Consider the following 17,843-nt stretch of genomic DNA (forward strand, 5'->3'; position numbering starts at 1 on the left):
AGAAACAGTTTGGTTTAAAAAAACAAAATTGGGACCAGTACCAGTGGCTCATGACTATAATCACAGCAGTTTGGGAGGTCAAGGCAGGAGACCTGCTTGAGGTCAAAAGTCTGATACCAGCCTAGGCAACATAGCAAGACCTTATCCCTACAAAAATACAAAAATTAGCTGTGCACAGTGGTGCACATCTGTAGTCTCAGCTACTGAGGAGACTAAGTGGGGAGGATCAATTGAGCCTAGGAGTTCAAGGCTGCAATGAACTATGATCCTGATACTGGACTCCAGCCTGGGTGAAGAAGTAAAACCCTCTTTCTAAAAACAAACAATAAAAATATAGACATTGAAAGGTGGTCTTTTCACACAGAATGGAAGCAGAATGGTGATTCTTAGCAGCAACTTTAATAACATCTGAAATCAAGCCTCCTTGCCCTCAGTCCCCACCCCTTACCTCAATGGTTCTCAAATATTCAAACATTTCTGTGCCCAAAACAGCCACCTAAGCATTGTAATAAATGCAAACTCCTGAGAACCAGTCCAAAGAGACTGCCTCACATGGTCTAACATGAGCCTCTAAAATCTGAATTTCTAATGGGAATTTCAGATCATTCTGAATCAGGTGACACTTGACTGTGAGAACCACTGGTGAGAACCACCTATTTTTCCAATCACTTCCCACTGCTAAGATTTATTCAGCACCATGAACTGGTAGAAATGAAGTAAACCTATCAGAAGAGTGACAGGTGTAGAGTCTCTTGTGCCCAGGGGCTCCCATTCAATGTGAATTGTATTTTATAATATACCAAGAGCCCCCAAACACAGAAGTGACCTGGACCTCTCTCAGCATCTGTAGAGGAAGCATTTTAGAAAAGCGGAAAATAAAAGGTAAACTTTCAAAACTGTTGCTTTGTAGAATTTTAAATATGCACCACTAAACTAGAGTCATTTATTTTGTCTTAGAGTCTCAGGCTTAGCATGGCTGAATTGCTTCCCGATTGTACCATAGTACAATAGGAATTTATCTACCTTAAGATGAGGAAAATAACTTTTCACTCTCAAAAGCTGAGCCAGAAGAAAGGCCTTTCTCTAGTGATCACTAAGCTGAGCTGTCTCTGGACAGATTGTAATAAAACATTCATTCAGTTGGAAGCTCTAGAACATTTGCTTACGCTTGCTGCATGTTTACCATCTATTTATGCTCTCTCCCTCTCTCTTTTCTCTTGCCTTCTCTCTCTCTGTCTCTGTCTCTCTCTCTCTCACACACACACAGAAACACACACACACACAGAAACAACAACTAATCTTTCAATTGATATAGTTGGTGCATCAATGATATGAGCCATTTCCTGCTGCTGATCCCATGACTTCCAGAATTCTAGAGGGCAACTCATTCCACTATGTTTTCTTAGCAAATTCCACAGGGGGACACCCATGATGGGTATTTAGCAGAGCTGCATAGGTAATGGGATGCTGGGCAATTTTTGTCAAACTAGTTGTTTTTGGTTGACTTATCTGTAATACTGAGGGAGCTACACAATGTTATCTGTTTGTAAATAATTGGAAATACTTCCTGAGCTTGCAGGGGAAAATGCTTTATGGCTAAATGGTGTCGATTCCCCTGGTAGTTTAGGTATAAATCTCCTTGCTGACCTCAAACTGATATCTACCTTTTCTCATCCTTTTTTTTCTCCCTAGAGGGGGAAAAGCAAATAAACGAAACCACACTTGTTACAACACAATAGTTTGTTAAGAGTGAGCTAGAATAGCTGGTGATTAGTGTTGTTTTAATCAAATAGGATGCAAAGATGAAACCAATGGGAGGTTATTTACCTGCAAAGGAAATAAATTTAGAGGAAGAGATTAGTACAAAGGGGAGAGATTTTTGTATTGTGGTTCGGTAAGAGCTGTTTTTTAGGATTATACCCAATTTTGGAGACCAAGGGTATTTAGACAATTTTTAAAAATTTAATTCCTGGGGTCAATTAAAATAACAATCCTTTGCATTTGTGTTATGCTTTACAATTTACAGAATGTCTTAAGGTAGTTAAGTTTCAAGTTTTTCTTTCTCAGTATCCTACCTTCATGCATCAAAGTGGGTGGCCTTTATCCCATTAACGGCAATTACGTAAGACAGATGTCCCTAGATGAAATCTTACAGTTCTTTTAAATGAGTTTCTGTAGAAAACAGTATCTTAAAAATATTTGTTAATTTTAATTAAAATACTTTCTTTATATTGGTGTACATTTTCCATTGTGCAAATTTTAAAAATCTGCCACTCAAAAACTATATCTGGCTACATTTTGAGCCCAAACCAGTGAAGACAGAAATAAAGCCTAACTTTTCAGAAGCCCTCTGCTTCCTTGTAACTCTGAGGGACAGGTAGTGGAAATTATGAGCACACTGGTAATTTCCAATCTGGGGAAGGGAATTGGCATTGGAACATGCATCTATTAACCACGAAATGGACGTGACTCACAGTGTTAAGTAACAGCAAATTCCACAGAGGGACACCCATGGTAAGTTCTTAGCAGAGTTGCATAGTTAATGGGATGCTGGGCAATTGGATGTTAGAAAAAGGAGCCTCCTGTGACAGAGCCTCAACGCAAAGGGATGGATCCCTTTGTGTACATTCTGTGTGATGCAGTTGCTTTCCAGGACTGAGGGGGTCAGAGGATCCTGGTAGCCCAGAGTGGCACGGGGTGGGGAGTGGGGTGGAGAGGTGAAGAAAAGCAGCAGCCCACTGGTTTTTGGGACCCCAAATAGGAGTGTGTTTTCTGTGAAAAAAAATGAAAATTAATATTGTTATAGGTAGTTAGCCATGAGTGGGGCAGGAGAGAGCTCTCCCCTGACCCACTAGAAATGTTGGGTGATGGTTCGGCAATTATTGCATTGCCGCTCTAAAAGTGATAAATTGGAAGCCAATGCCAGGGAGAGGCCATTTCCTGAAGGTCTACACCTGTTAACATGTTAATTAAAGGCAGATCCCAGGGAGAAGCAACTTCCTGGGGGTGCACATTAAGAGATAAAAATGGTGAAGTATGATCTTCCGGGTACACTCCACCAGAAAAAGGAAGGAAGCCTCAGATGGGCATGCGTAAAATTCCCTAAACACACTGTGTGTGCTCAATTCCCAGGGGTAAAGAGGGCACCGCGCATGTGGAAAGCCCTAAGGAGAGAATCATGGGGGAAAAGGCGAGCCTATACAATCCCAGAATCAAGGCTAAAGCCACTTCTTTCCTCTCTTTGACCTTCAGGTGCCCACTAGGCTCTCTTCCAAGGGTTCTTTCCTTTCTTTCCTGTTATAAAGCCTTTTAATAAACTTCCACTCCTGCTCTGAAACTTGCCTCTGTCTCTTTTTCTGTCTTATGCCCATCAGTCGAATTCTTTCTTCTGAGGAGGCAAGGACTGAATTTGCTGCGGGTAACTCGGGGTAACTCGAATCTCTGCCACTGCTAAGTATATGAGGTTTCGTAAAAATTCAAAATAAGCGATAAGAAGTAAATAAGATAGAACTGGGATCACGAAAGGAGAAATCAGATCTAGACGTAAGTGTATTTTGCTGAGGTCACCCATGCTCTTCATTCAGAGAAAATTAGCTTTAAAATCACAATGTCAAGAGTTCATAGAAATCCATTTCCCAACACTCTCTGCCCATGTTTCTCTGTCTCGTTCTGGTACCACAGGTTGGCAGTCAACTCAAGGCAGGCAGTTATGGTGGCAGACACATTCCAGATGGAAAGATCATTTTGTTTCTAGACACTGTAACAAAGGCTTTGGCAGTTGGTGAGCAACCCTCCTGCTGGGAGCAGGTGTCTTCCCTTTGACAAGATTGCATTTTATACAGAAGAGCTTGAAATGGACTGTAACTGGTATCAGGTTGAACAAGTCAGGATTTTGAAAAGGCTTGGCTAACCAGCTTGAGATGAGGAACAATGACATGGGAAACGAATTACTTGTTTGCTAATGTCACAATAATTCAGCCATTCATCTTGAGTGGAGCATGCAGCATTAACTGTCCTCACTACCAGCCTCATGTTCTAGTCACTAAAGGCTCAATGGAAATTGTTGGCTGGGAGGACGCTGAGATAGACACATGCACGTGCACACACACACACACACACACACACACAGCCCCACACCAAAACATACAATACTGTCCTCAGGATCGGAAATTTTGGAAAATAATTCCATCATGTTAGCTAGTATTTTCCCTTGGTGGACTATACCAGATCTCTAAAATATGAGTTTATTCCCTTTGAGTTAATGTTTTCTGCAAACAATTTGACACTATAAAATATCTTTAGAATAACTACTCAAACACCCAATGTATTAGTCCATTTTCACACTGCTATAAAGATACTACCTGAGACTGGGTAATTTATAAAGGAAAGAAATGTAATTGACTCACAGTTCTGCATGGCTGCGGAGGCCTCAGGAAACTTAACAATCATGGCAGATGGCAAAGGAGAAGCAAGTACCTTCTCCACAAAGCAGCAGAAGAGAGAAAGAGAAGGGGGAAGTGCCAGACACTTATAAAAAAATCAGATCTCATGAGAACTCCCCCACTATCAGGAGAAAAGCATAGGGGAAACTACCCCCATGATCCAATCACCTCCCACCAGGTCCCTCCTTTGACATGTGGAGGTTACAATTTGGATTACAATTTGAGATGAGATCTGAGTGGGGCACAGCCAAACCATATCACCCAACAACAATAAAATGGCTAAATAGTAATAGAATCGCACAATGAATGAACAATTATAAATATATGCAGAAATATGGATGATTCTCACAAGCACAAGAATGAGCAAAAGAAGTCAGACCCCAAAAAGGGCATACTACATCATTCCATTTATAAGAAGTACACAAGAGGAGATACTAGTGTATGTGGTTGGAAGGCAGGAAATAGTTATTACTCTGGGGATTGGAGAGGATAGTCCAGTGACTGAGGGGCCAGAGAAGGTGCTAATAATGTATGGTTTCTTGATGTAGGGTTGCTTACATGAATGCATCCAGTTTGTGATGATTCATCAAACCACTTGTATGCACTTTCCTTGATGTACCTTCATTTAAAGTCAAAGTATTAAATATTCTTATCACACCAGATTTCTGATAAACAAAATCATGTTTTACTTTTTTTTTTTGAAATTTGGGATACTCATCTGCTGAACTGCAGTAAAAGGATAAATTAGACTTTAGATATTGTTCTTTATGTGTGATGGCTTTGTCCGTGGTTTAGAGAGTCTTGGATTATGAACAGACTTGAGACATGAGGCATCTGAATTAAGCAATGAGTGTCTTATGGGTTAACTTCAAACATATGTTTTCAATTCCTTCCCCAATCAAATTCTAACCATGACCTATTTTGGGTTAACATTAAACTGGAAATGCATTCTACTGCTGTCTCATGTTGAATGTAAAATCCTGCCTGGTGTAAAAAAATAAATTATGTTTTTAAAGTATGTACGTGAGCTTTGGGGACAAAGTTAAATTGAACCCTCTTTTTCCCTAGATTCTTTTACTTTCTCTTGCATACATATTGATCTACCAGATCTTTTTCCCACTCCGTAGATTGTAAGTTGCTGCTATAACTTGACTTTTATTAAGTAGTGAGTTGTATCACAAAGCACGTGGTGGTAATGAACTTAGACGCATGTTGGCAGTGTTGATGTTGTATCCCAGCTCTTCCACTCTCTTACTGGGATCTTAGGCAAATCATTTCCTCTCTTGGAGTCCTCAGTTTCTTCATTGGTAGAATGAGCCATTTGATCTGAATAATCTCTTAAAGATTCATGGATTAACACAAATAAATAGACAAAGGTTTGACAAAGCTTTATACACTATTGTAAAAATACCCCCCAGAGCTAAAAATTAAAACAACTGAACCTGTGGAGATAGAGAGTAGAAGGATGGTTTCCAGAGTCTGGGAAGGGTAGTGGGAGGTTGGTGGGGGGGATGTGGGGATGGTTATTGGGTACAAAAAATAATTAGAAATTATGAATAAAGTCCAGTACTTAATAGCACAACAGGGTGATTATAGTCAATAATAATTTAATGGTATATTTAAAAATAACTAAAGGAGTATAATTGAGTTGTTTGTAACACAAAGGATAAATTCTTGAGGTGATGAATACCCCATTTATCCTGATGTGATTATTATACACTGCATGCCTGTATCAAAAGATCTTATATACCCCATAAATATATATATATACCTACTACTTACGCATAAAAAATAAAAATAATTTTAAAAATCCCACCAGAAGGGTTTCTACTGGGTGATTTTAAGGGGGATAGGGGGTATGGGTAGAGGGGCAGAAAGGCCCTAAAGGTTTACTGGGTTATGGCAAAGAGTTTCCTCACTTATCCCAGAATAAAAATTATTTCAAATAGCATTGGAATGGTAGTGGAAAGTTCAGAAGTTATGACTAGGTTTTTCTCAGACATCAATTCTACCTTTATCCTTGGGTATTACTTTTTGTTGTCCTTACTTAAAACATGGAGTTCTAATAAACAGAAAAGAAAATAACCCCCAGAATGGAATATGTCAAACTAGAGTGACATTTGTCATTCAAAGCCAAGGAAGTAAATCTTAACTGAAGCTCAGGAACTGTGTAATTATAGTGAATCTTCCCCATCAGCTTGTAACTGGGATTCTAGTATCAGGAGAAGCCATATTCCCATCCCCCAGAGGAGGAGCGGTTATGAATTTCTGGCATGTTTGGGGTTCAGAGAATGTTCTCAACCAGAGTAGATACCAAACTGAGCAATACTATGTCACAAAGGGGCCGTTTTCAGCACTGTAAAATTTCCTTATTTCTTCTACAACTTAGAGCTGGTGTTAAGGTATAAGGTTATCAGAAAAGAGGATTTAAGTCCTTCTGGGCACATAATTCCAGCATAACATGAAAAATGTCAAGTTTGGGATGGGAGAAGAGCTGCCAAGTCAGATTAGTTCAATTCTTTTCTACCTGGCAACTGTTGACAATTGGCTGCTGTTTGTCATAGATTCATGGAGAACTGAAAAACAAACAAGCAAAGAAACAAAAAACAGTCTTTCTGAACTAAATGCCTCAAGCTTCAGGTCATTTTAAAAGGAAAAGGCTATTTTAATCACCCTGTTTGGAGTTCGGCCCTCTGAAGGCCATTTTAAGGTATCCCATTTAGGCTGTTTATTTCAGTAAAAAAAAAAAAAAAAAAAAAGCTGAGGGTAACCAGCTCTTTGATAGCATGTCTATGAGATTTGTCTCTTGACTTCCTTAAAGCTGTCTTTTCTGAGTTAGAAATACTCTCCAGAAGAATTGCCTGTGAAATCATTGGAATCGACCCAGAATCCTCTTCTGGCACATGACCTCACAGAATCTCCTTAAGGCATCTTTTCTGATAGCTGAAGGGAAAGCAACTGAATAGATGGCTTGGACTGCCCTGGGTTGTTATAGTTGCTTTAAAAAAAAAATTTGTCAGATTAGAACCTTGCATGGCCCACTAATGAAACTTACAAAGCTTAATAGGAGAAGATGATTTACCTTATCCAAGTTACAACAGCTCATTCAGAGGGTTTTTTGGACAGGGGCAGAAAGACTTTTACTGGTTTATACCTAGGTGAATTAAGTCAATTATTCCTGTCAAAAGAAAAACTTTAGACAAAATAAACTTAACAGGGTTTATTTGAGCAAACAACAATTCATGAATGGAGCATCGCTCAATCGGAAATAGGTTTAGAGAACTCCACTGCAGAATAGGTTTAGAGAACTACCCACAGCCTGGGTAGCTGGGAACTTGTAAATGCAAAAGGAGATGCTGTCTGGCCCTCAAAACATATCCTTCTCTTACTAGTTCTATAATAAATGTATAATTCATTCAGAAATGAATTATACATTTGAACATTGCTACCTGAGCTAATCTCACTCAAACTAATTTCAGATACAGGGTCCAAAGATATCCCATATTGTTGATAGTACAAATGGTACATTACTAAAAGGGTAGATGGTGTCTGTGTTGGAGAAGAGATGATATAACTGATGCCTTTATTCCTGTTTAGAGGAAAAAAGACTAAGGAAAACTGAATAGAATTTGAGTCATGTAAGTATGCATAAATATTCAAAGGGCAGTGCTAAGTACCATTGGGGATTATCTATTACTAAAATATTGACATGCAGATGAACCTTGACTTATGATAGGGTAACTTCCCAATAAACCCATCAGAAGTTGAAAATATTATAAGCTGAAAATGTATTTAATGCATCTAACCTATGGAACAGCATAGCTTAGCCTAGCCTAACTTAAACACGCTTAGAGCACTTACATAAACCTACAGTTGGGCAAAATCATCTAACACAAAGCCTGTTTTATAACAAAGTGTTGAATACCTCATGGAATTTATTGGACACTGTACTGAAAGTGAAAAACAGAATGGTTGTATGGGTATTCAAAGTATGGTTTTTATTGAATGGGTTTCCCTTTCACACAATCTTAAAGTTAAAACCTCATGTCAATCTCCTCCAGGTTTTGGTATCAGGATGATGCTGGCCTCATAAAATGAGTTAGGTAGGCGTCCCTCTTTTTCTATTGTTTGGAATAGTTTCAGAAGGAATGGTACCAGCTCCTCTTTGTACCTCCGGTAGAATTCGGCTGTGAATCCATCTGGTTCTGGACTTTTTTTGGTTGGTAGGGTATTAATTACTGCCTCAATTTCAGAACTTGTTATTGGTCTATTCAGGAATTTGACTTCTTCCTGGTTTAGTCTTGGGAGGGTGTATGTGTCCAGGAATTTTTCCATTTCTTCTAGATTTTCTAGTTTATTTGTGTAGAGGTGTTTATAATATTCTCTGATGGTAGTTTGTATTTCGGTGGGATCAGTGGTGATATCCCCTTTATCATTTTTTATTGTGTCTATTTGATTCTTCTCTCTTTTCTTCTTTATTAGCATGGCTAGTGGTCTACCTATTTTATTAATCTTCTCAAAAAACCAGCTCCTGGATTCACTGATTTTTTGAAGGGTATTTCATGTCTCTATCTCCTTCAGTTCTGCTCTGATCTTAGTTATTTCTTTTTTTTTTTTTTTTTTTTTTTGAGATGGAGTCTCGCTCTGTTGCCCAGGCTGGAGCACAGTGGCACGATCTCAGCTCACTGCAACCTCTACCTCCTGGGTTCACGCCATTCTCCTGCCTCAGCCTCCCGAGTAGCTGGGACTACAGGCACCCACCACCACGCCTGGCCAATTTTTTTTGTATTTTTAGTAGAGATGGGGTTTCATCATGTTAGCCAGGATGGTCTTGATCTCCTGACCTCGTGATCCGCCCGCCTCAGTCTCCCAAAGTGTTGGGATTACAGGCATGAGCCACTGTGCCAGGCCAGTTATTTCTTGTCTTCTGCTAGCTTTTGAATTTGTCTGCTCTTGCTTCTTTAGTTCCTTTAATTGTGATGTTAGGGTATAGATTTAGATCTTTCCTGCTTTCTCCATTTAGTGCTATACATTTCCCTCTAAACACTGCTTTTGCTTTAGCTGTGTCCAGAGATTCTGGTATATTGTGTCTTTGCTCTCAGGCCAATATCCCTGATGAACATTGATGCAAAATCCTCAACAAAATACTGGCAAACCAAATCCAGCAGCACATAAAAAAGCTTATCCACCACGATCAAGTCAGCTTCATCCCTGGGATGCAAGGCTGATTCAACATATGCAAATCAATAAATGTAATCCATCACATAAACAGAACCAATGACAAAAACCACATGATTATCTCAATAGCTGCAGAAAAGCCCTTTGATAAAATTCAACACCCCTTCATGCTAAAAACTCTCAATAAACTAAGTATTAATGGAAAGTATCTCAAAATAATAAGAGCTATTTTTGACAAACCCACAGCCAATATCATACTGAATGGGCAAAAGCTGGAAGCATTCCATTTGAAAACAGGCACAAGACAAGGATGCCCTCTCTCATCACTCCTATTCAACACAGTATTGGAAATTCTGGCTGGGGCAATCAGTCAAGAGAAAGCAATAAAGGGTATTCAAATAGGAAGAAAGGAAGTCAAATTGTCTCTGTTTGCAGATGACATGATTGTATATTTAGAAAACTCCATCATCTCAGCCCAAAATCTCCTTAAACTGATAAGCAACTTTAGCAAAGTCTCAGGATACAAAATCAATGTGCAAAAATTACAAACATTCAGATACACCAATAATAGACAAACAGAGAGCCAAATGATGAGTGAACTCCCATTCACAATTGCTACAAAGAGAATAAAATACCTAGGAATGCAACTTACAAGGGATGTGAAGGACCCCTTCAAGGAGAACTACAAACCACTGCTCAACGAAATAAGAGAGGACCCAAACAAATGGAAAAACATTCCATGCTCATGAATAGGAAGAATCAATATCATGAAAATGGCCATAATGCCCAAAGTAATTTATAGATTCAATGCTATCCCCATCGAGATACAATTGACTTTCTTCAGAGAATTGGAAAAAAACTACTTTAAATTTCATATGGAACCAAAAAAGAGTCTGCATAGCCAAGACAATCCTAAGCAAATGATAGACTGGATAAAGAAAATGTGGCACATATACAACACTGAATACTATGCAGCCATAAAAAAGGATGAGTCCTTTGCAGGGACATGGATGAAGCTAGAAACCATCATTTTCAGAAAACTAACACAGGAACAGAAAACCAAACACCGCATGTTCTCACTCATAAGTGGGAGTTGAACAATGAGAATGCATGGGCACAGGGAGGGGAACATCACAAACCAGGGCCTGTTGGGGAGTGGGGGCTAGGGAGGGATAGCATTAGAAGAAATGCCTAATGTAGATGATGGGTTGATGGGTGCGGCAAACCACCATGGCACGTGTATACCTATGTAACAAACCTACACGTTCTGCACATGTATCCCAGAACTTAAAGTATAATAATAAAAATAAAATGGTCATGCTAAATGCAATGAAGTGTCTTGGATCAGATCTTGGAACAGATAAAGGATACTAGTAGAGAAAGAGTGGTAAAATCTGTAGTTTAGATAATAGAAATGTATTGATGTTAATTTCTTGGTTTTGACAAATGTACTGTGGTATATGAGATGATAGCATTTGGGGAAAGTGGGTAAAGGGTATGCAGAAATTTTCTGGGGTATCTTTGTGATTTTTCTGTAAATCTAAAATTGTTCCAAAGTAAAGTTTATTTTAAAAATTGAAAAAAAAATTCCTGTCAATCATCGTAACTCAGGGGCCATCTGTACTTCCTTCTTAACACTGAAAAAAAGCCTCTCCCCTCAGCCCGAAAGTGGCTGCCTCAGCTCTTCCCTGAGGATCCCAGAACTTCCCCACATCCAGAAATTAAAGGGATTTAACTGGCACAGCAAGGAGCCTCCAGTACACAGCTGGTGCACTATCGCCTTAATCAGGCTACCTGATTAAATCAGGGATCTCCAATAAGCCATGGCCAGTGTGGATATATGGATGTGCTATCAATTAATAGCCTGGAACCAACATTGTTGTTCCTCCAATTATTAGCTAGACAACCTTGGGCAAGTAACTTAATCTTTCTGTGCCTCTGTTTCCTTATCTGTAAAATATCAATAACTCCATACAGTTGATAGTGTTTCCTTATGTGTAATATCTATAAGTATAATAGTATCTACTCCAAGGGGTTGTTGATACAATTAAATTGAGTATATGTATATAAAATTCTTAGAACAGGGCCTAGATAAGTGTTGGGGATGATGATGATGAGGAGGATGATGATGAAAATGATGACTGATCTAGACATGAGCATGGTCACGTGTCCATGAGGCAAATCTCTGATGATGTGGAGTGTTTGATACTGAAAGGTGAAAACTAACCTGGTCATATCATCTCTTTTGGGGATTATGATTATTGATTTGCACTGAGATGACTCATTATTTCAGTCTGAGCAATAATTCAAACACTGGTGAGCTACCATTCCTATTATCCATGAGGCATGGTGCATATACCACAGGGTATAATAATAAACTCCCATCATCAAAAGCAGTCTGGGTTTTTCTCCTTTGTGCTGCCTGAAAGAGCATAAATAATACAACTAGAAGGACAGTTCTGATCACCAACTCACATATCTATATGCAAAGTGCTTATTATAGGAATCTTTCAAGAGAACATAAATCCCTAGGGCAGTGGTTGTTGCCCTTTCAAATGAGGTCTACTGGTCTCAGGGTCCCCCAGACTACCTGCTGACCAGCCAAGTGTGGCATTTTTGGCCTATATGAAGTCCATGGCCAGTCTAAGATTTAAAAAAGAAGAAGTAAGAAGTTGGGGATGGGGGAAGAAAGAAGTTTTGTATCTTGTATGTCTAGAGTAATTCTTCCCAGCAAAGAGTGAGTTCTCTGGATGGATTCAAAGCGAAGTCTTAACTATTTTTACTGTTTTAAGTGGAAAGTATGCCTTACAAAGGACTGTAAGATCCTTTGAGATTAAGGTAAGAAATATTGTCCACAGGTTAGGAGAACAGGGAATACAAAAGTATGGATGAATAAAAGTACATCTGCTGGGCTAACCTAGGCCCACTCTGAATTTTCATCTTTTCTCTATTTCCTCCTCTCCCCATCCCTCCCATTTTATTTTCCTCCCAGTGCACCACTGGGAGACAGAAGCCTAAAGTGAAGTAGCAGGAAATGACTAACCGTGATTGGAGTGGGTCAGAGGGCATTACCCTTGGGATTGGAGACAATTGAAGCAAACACCTGCTCCCACGACAATGCCTCTATGGACTTGGCCCACTTCATCTGCTGTGACAAGCATCTTCACAACAGATGAAGCAGGAACTTCATCGCAAATAAGTCCATGTAGCCCCCAAACTGGAGAACGCTATCATAGAAAAATCAAAGTGTGTTTTATGGTTCTGAGCCATCATAGACAGCCAGGTAGGGAAAATACCAGTAGGGAATAAAGGCCATAGGGAATAAAAATGTATGTCATTGAGACATTCTACCTACATGGCATTTCCCTTCTCTAGTCATATTCCTCAGTGGCAGTAAGATTACATCTGAAGGATGGAAAACAGTGGGCTCAATGCACTCAGAATATTAATAACATATTTTCTTTGCTCTGCACCTCTATCTGTTGAGTTATTTGCCAAATTGGGGATGACATGCCTTTGCCATTTGTCTTGCTTATGTGTTTTAAGATTTCTTGACCCACAGCACTACAAAGAGAAAACAAGTTCACTTTTGGTGTGAATGAGAATTATATTTATAATTTTCTAAATTATATTAACTGAATAGTCTAACAGTAAGAGTTTGAATGGGAGAAAAATGCAGTTACACTGCTGGAATTCTAATCAAGAGACTTTCTTGAGATATACAACAAGAAAGAAAGAGTGGAGTAAGAAAGTAGTTTTGTTATGTATATGGTGAGTCCACCTTACCTCTGATTTGTGCAGAAAATGCTGACAGTGATAGAGCATTATGAGAGAGGAAGGAAATATAGTTGGCAAATTTTCTTCGATTCAATATGCAGTCTTGACAACCCTGAACAGAGTATTGAATGTTGGTCATCAAACTCAAAGCTCTGAAAAGATATAAAACTACCTGAGGGATCCTTGCCCCCAAATGTTTTGTCCATGGTGGAGTCTTTGTTTCATTAAGGGGCCAAGGGATGAGGCAAAGCTGTCAAGAGGACGTAAAGATTACCTCCAATTGCTAAGAGCAGATGGTGGCTAATGGCAAGTGTTTTTAACAGAGCTTTATTGTTCCAGGTTGAGGCATTAATACGTCTCCGTGGGGTTTTTCTGGTTTTATTTATTTTTTTTTATTTTAAAAAGTCACTTTGTAAAATGACCATGTGACATGCTTTGTAATTTTTGCTTGCACTGGCCTTCCATGTTGTATTAATATTTGTCTCTCATTTTCCTGATGTGGGGATGGCATTTGGGATCCAACCAAAAGCAGGTCTGTATTATTTTGAGCTTTCACATTAAAAAGGAAAGCATTGATTCTTCCAAATTGGAGCAAAGACTTGTCCCCCTTTCCTGAGCAATTGCAAGAGCTTTGAAATAATAGTAAATATAGCCTGTTTCCACATGCTAAAGGGGTTTGACATGACTCAATGCAAACAGTCCCAAACTTGTTTGTGCCAGCTACAACTGTTTAGTAGCCTTAGAAGAAAAGAAAGCTTCTTAACACCTTTATTTCTCTAACAAAGCAACTTCAGTCACTGCAGATTTAAATCTGATTTCGGAGTGATTATCTCTTTGTTTGATTTCTAAATCCCAAGTATTTTTTTGGACTCCATCTAGTCGTGACTAGAGCACAGGGCAGATGATTAATGCCAACACAAAAGAACACTGAAAACAGAGAGTCTGAAGCCCATTTTATACTTTCTTTGCCATCAGAGTACATCCAGTTATTGATAGAGGAAAATTATAACCGGTGAGAAACTAGCCTTCCCCCCGTCCCCCTTGCTCTTTCCAGGGATCCAGGGAGTCTTTCATACTCAGAAGCCCAGCTGTAGATATGACCAGTGGAAGTTAGGTAACAACAGCGGCGGTTAGCATTGTGTTTCCTGAATCGCTGGAAATAATTCCTGGGCACAGTCTGAAACACATTTTTAGGCTCTAGAATATTCCTTCTCCATCCCTCATGCCCCATATCAAGACATGTCTTTGTCTCTTTGTAAAACTAAATGCAGTAAACTTGAGATAAAGGATCCAACTAGCAAACATCCTTCTCTGGCTGTTATTGGATTGCTTGGAGAAAGTAGTAGGAAGGAAGGGTAGGTATCTATTGACCTTGGGGTATTTTTTCCATGTTGGCAACCACTTTCAGAGCAAGGTACTCCCAGAAAAGATATTCTGGAGCAAGCCCTTCAATCTCAAACAGGCATCTCCCCTGATGCATTGGAATTCATTGGAATTCAGACCAGCCCCCAAAAACCAGCCTCAGTGTGTCCATGACAGCTTCGCAGTTGGAAGCCTGAGATCTACGGCCACCAACTGTTTCCAGCTTTAAAGAGAAAATAACAAACAAGCAAACACAACAGAAAGAAAGATCAGGTTCCTTATTTGGCAGTTATCAGCTGCTTAGACTTGTTGTATTCACTCAGGAAAAGTTGTAGAAAAATCTCCCTCCCTTTTAAAATTATAAAGCAAACAGCTCAACCTCTTAGACTCCAATACTGCCATGGGGTAAAGGTGCCAAATAAACACATTTTCCACATCCCACCCTCCTCCCTGCAGCACCAAGTGTCTTGGACTGTGTTTGTACCTGGAGAGAAAAGGAAAAAAAATCAGGAAATTTTGTACTTTTGATGCAGCCAGGAGCCCTATTACTAATTAAACCACAGTAGCTTCTTTTTTTTGAGCATGGGATCACCAACCAGTGGGAACTTGGTACCTCCAACAGAGTTAGAAGGTTCCGTTGAAATGGGTAATAGAATTTTGCACCTCAAATAAAATCCTAGAAATAGCAGCAGCCTTCTCATCTCCTCTTTATCACTTTTTCCCCTACCTAGCCTGTCTGGGAAGAGTGAAGATATCTTAAACCCTTTCTGCCGTTGGCCTTCAAATCTTACAAGGTCCAGTTGAGCAGTGATTAAGCCAAGACCCTCAATGATTGCTATTGTATCAATTAGGATGACTTGGGCTGTAAAGGGCAAAAAAAAAAATCTTACCTTACCTGGCTTAAACAGTAAGGGCATTTGTGATCTTATATAACAAGACTCCTAGCATCAGGTGGCACTAGGATGGCTCAATAAAACACCTCAAGGATGTCGGGATCTTTATTCATTCTTTTTGCCACTATACCAACCTCAATATACTGGCCTTGTCCTTGACAAACTCCTCAAACTTGCAAGATGACATCTACAACTAGAAGCATCTTTGGCAAGAACAGCATCCAGTCGAATGAAAGGGATGTTTATTATCATGTGTCTCTCTCTCTCTCTCTCTTTTTTTTTTTTTTGAGACAGAGTTTCACTCTGTTTCCAGGCTGGAGTGCAGTGTCACGATCTCAGCTCACTGCAGTCTCCAATTCCCTGGTTCAAGCAGTTCTCCTGCCTTAGCCTCCTGAGTAGACTGGGATTACAAGCACAAGCCACCATGCCCAGCTAATTTTTATATTTTTAGTAGAGACGAGGTTTCACCATGTTGGCCAGGATGGTCTCGATCTCCTGACCTCATGATCCACCTGCCTCGGCCTCCCAAAGTGCTGGGATTACAGATGTGAGTCACCAAGCCTGGCCTTGTCTCTTTTTAAGAAAGAAGATTTATTTGCTAAAAAAAACTCCCACCAGATCCCCCCTTACTTCTTATTGGCTGTGTCACATGCCTGCTCCCAAGCCCAGTTACTTGCTAGGGCAATGGAACAACAGTGACTGACTGAGATGAATCAGGATTTTCACCAGACTATGTTGGGAGAAGGTAGAAACCTGAATTAAATCAGAGTGAATGGCTATTGGGCATGTAACCAACATTCCGGTCCCAGCTTCAGTAGCCAAATTGGCTCCTGAATACTTTTTACTTAGTATTTCATTAAATTCTCTCTGCAAAATGTAGAAATAAAAATAAGAAATGCTTACTTATAAATATTTTCTGGTTCCAGTGCTCACAAGTTAAAGATGTACATAAGAATACATAGAATAATCAAGAGTAGAACTAAAAATACATATATATTTATTTCTCTAGGTTTATTTTTTCACTCCGAAATCTTTGGGGTTTCAAAGACATTATTCTGGCGAGATTGTCTTTCTTTCAATAATTATTTTCTTCGAAATTCTTAGAAAAGCAATATGTTCCTTTTTTCCCCACTAAATAACTCCAATTACCCTGTATGGATGGGAGCCTCCAAGTTATTCTAAACCAGCACATGTGGACCTTGCCCAGCACAGAGACTTTTTTTCAGTATTAAGGACCAAAGACTGGAATTCACCTTCTTCTCTAGGTGATCACCTTTTCCTGAACCTAGAACATTTCTGGATGGGGCACATGTGTTGACCCAGCCAGAATGAGCCACAGCCCATTCTTATAGAGATAGAAGAAAAAATAAACCTGGAGCTGGAGGGCTGATCAATATCACTGTTTGTAATAAACAAATCCCATACCTTATATATCCTATGCCAAATTCAATGATTTTTCTCAACTACTGAGGCCATAAGGAAGAATTTCTTGTATCTGTTTCATTAAACAATAATTATATTTTCTAATGTAAAGGATAACTACAGAAATAATTTATAGAAATCGTAAATCACAGTGTCTGTTATTTGGCAAACCCATGTGTTCCATCAACTCAAATCATTCAGAACTTGCTGTACTTTACAGACTTTATAGGCTGTGTTGCTGCAGGGCCAGGCAGGCTGGTCAAAACTTGTTGTGGGAGGAGTTCAGGTTTGGGAAAGATGGTAGATGAAGATAATGTGACACTTCTCTATCTACAAAGACTTAGAAAATGCTTCAAAATGTAATAAAATGAAATGTTTAAATGCAGAATGAACTCACAAGCAAGAAGAGGAACACCCAAGCTGTCTGAAATAAAGGAAGAACTAAAACAAGAATCAGAAACACATAAGCGAATGGGTCAGGAAGGCCAGAGTGTGGTGAGGTGGGGACCATTTTAATACTATGTGCCAGGATAGGAGATAGAGTCTTTAAACCAAGGGTAAGGACAGTGGGAACCAAGCCTCTGGATTAAAGCTGGGTGTCTCCAAGGGTCGTAGCCTCAGTGGAAAGGAAGACTTGAGAAGTCCTAAATGACTTGAGACGAACACATGGATTTGCCAAATAACAGACACTGTGAGTCACCATTTCTATAAATTATTTCTAAAGTTATGATGTACATTAGACTTGCAGATGCTACTGTGGTAAGGGGTG

General features: G+C 39.4%; 1 long non-coding RNA gene across 3 annotated transcripts in view; it reads left to right on the plus strand.

Annotated features, from left to right (window-relative positions):
- The first annotated feature begins 740 nt into the window (after nt 1-740).
- Nucleotides 741-17,843, plus strand: part of LOC124900354 (uncharacterized) — a 165,186-nt gene continuing 148,083 nt past the window's right edge. For all 3 annotated transcript variants that reach the window (XR_001751516.3, XR_001751517.2, XR_007064618.1), the window contains exon 1: nt 741-882. This is a non-coding gene — a long non-coding RNA (uncharacterized LOC124900354). The remainder of the gene's footprint in view (nt 883-17,843) is intronic.

Source organism: Homo sapiens, chromosome 15 (genome assembly GCF_000001405.40).
Source record: "Homo sapiens chromosome 15, GRCh38.p14 Primary Assembly".
Taxonomy (NCBI): Eukaryota; Metazoa; Chordata; class Mammalia; order Primates; family Hominidae; genus Homo; species Homo sapiens.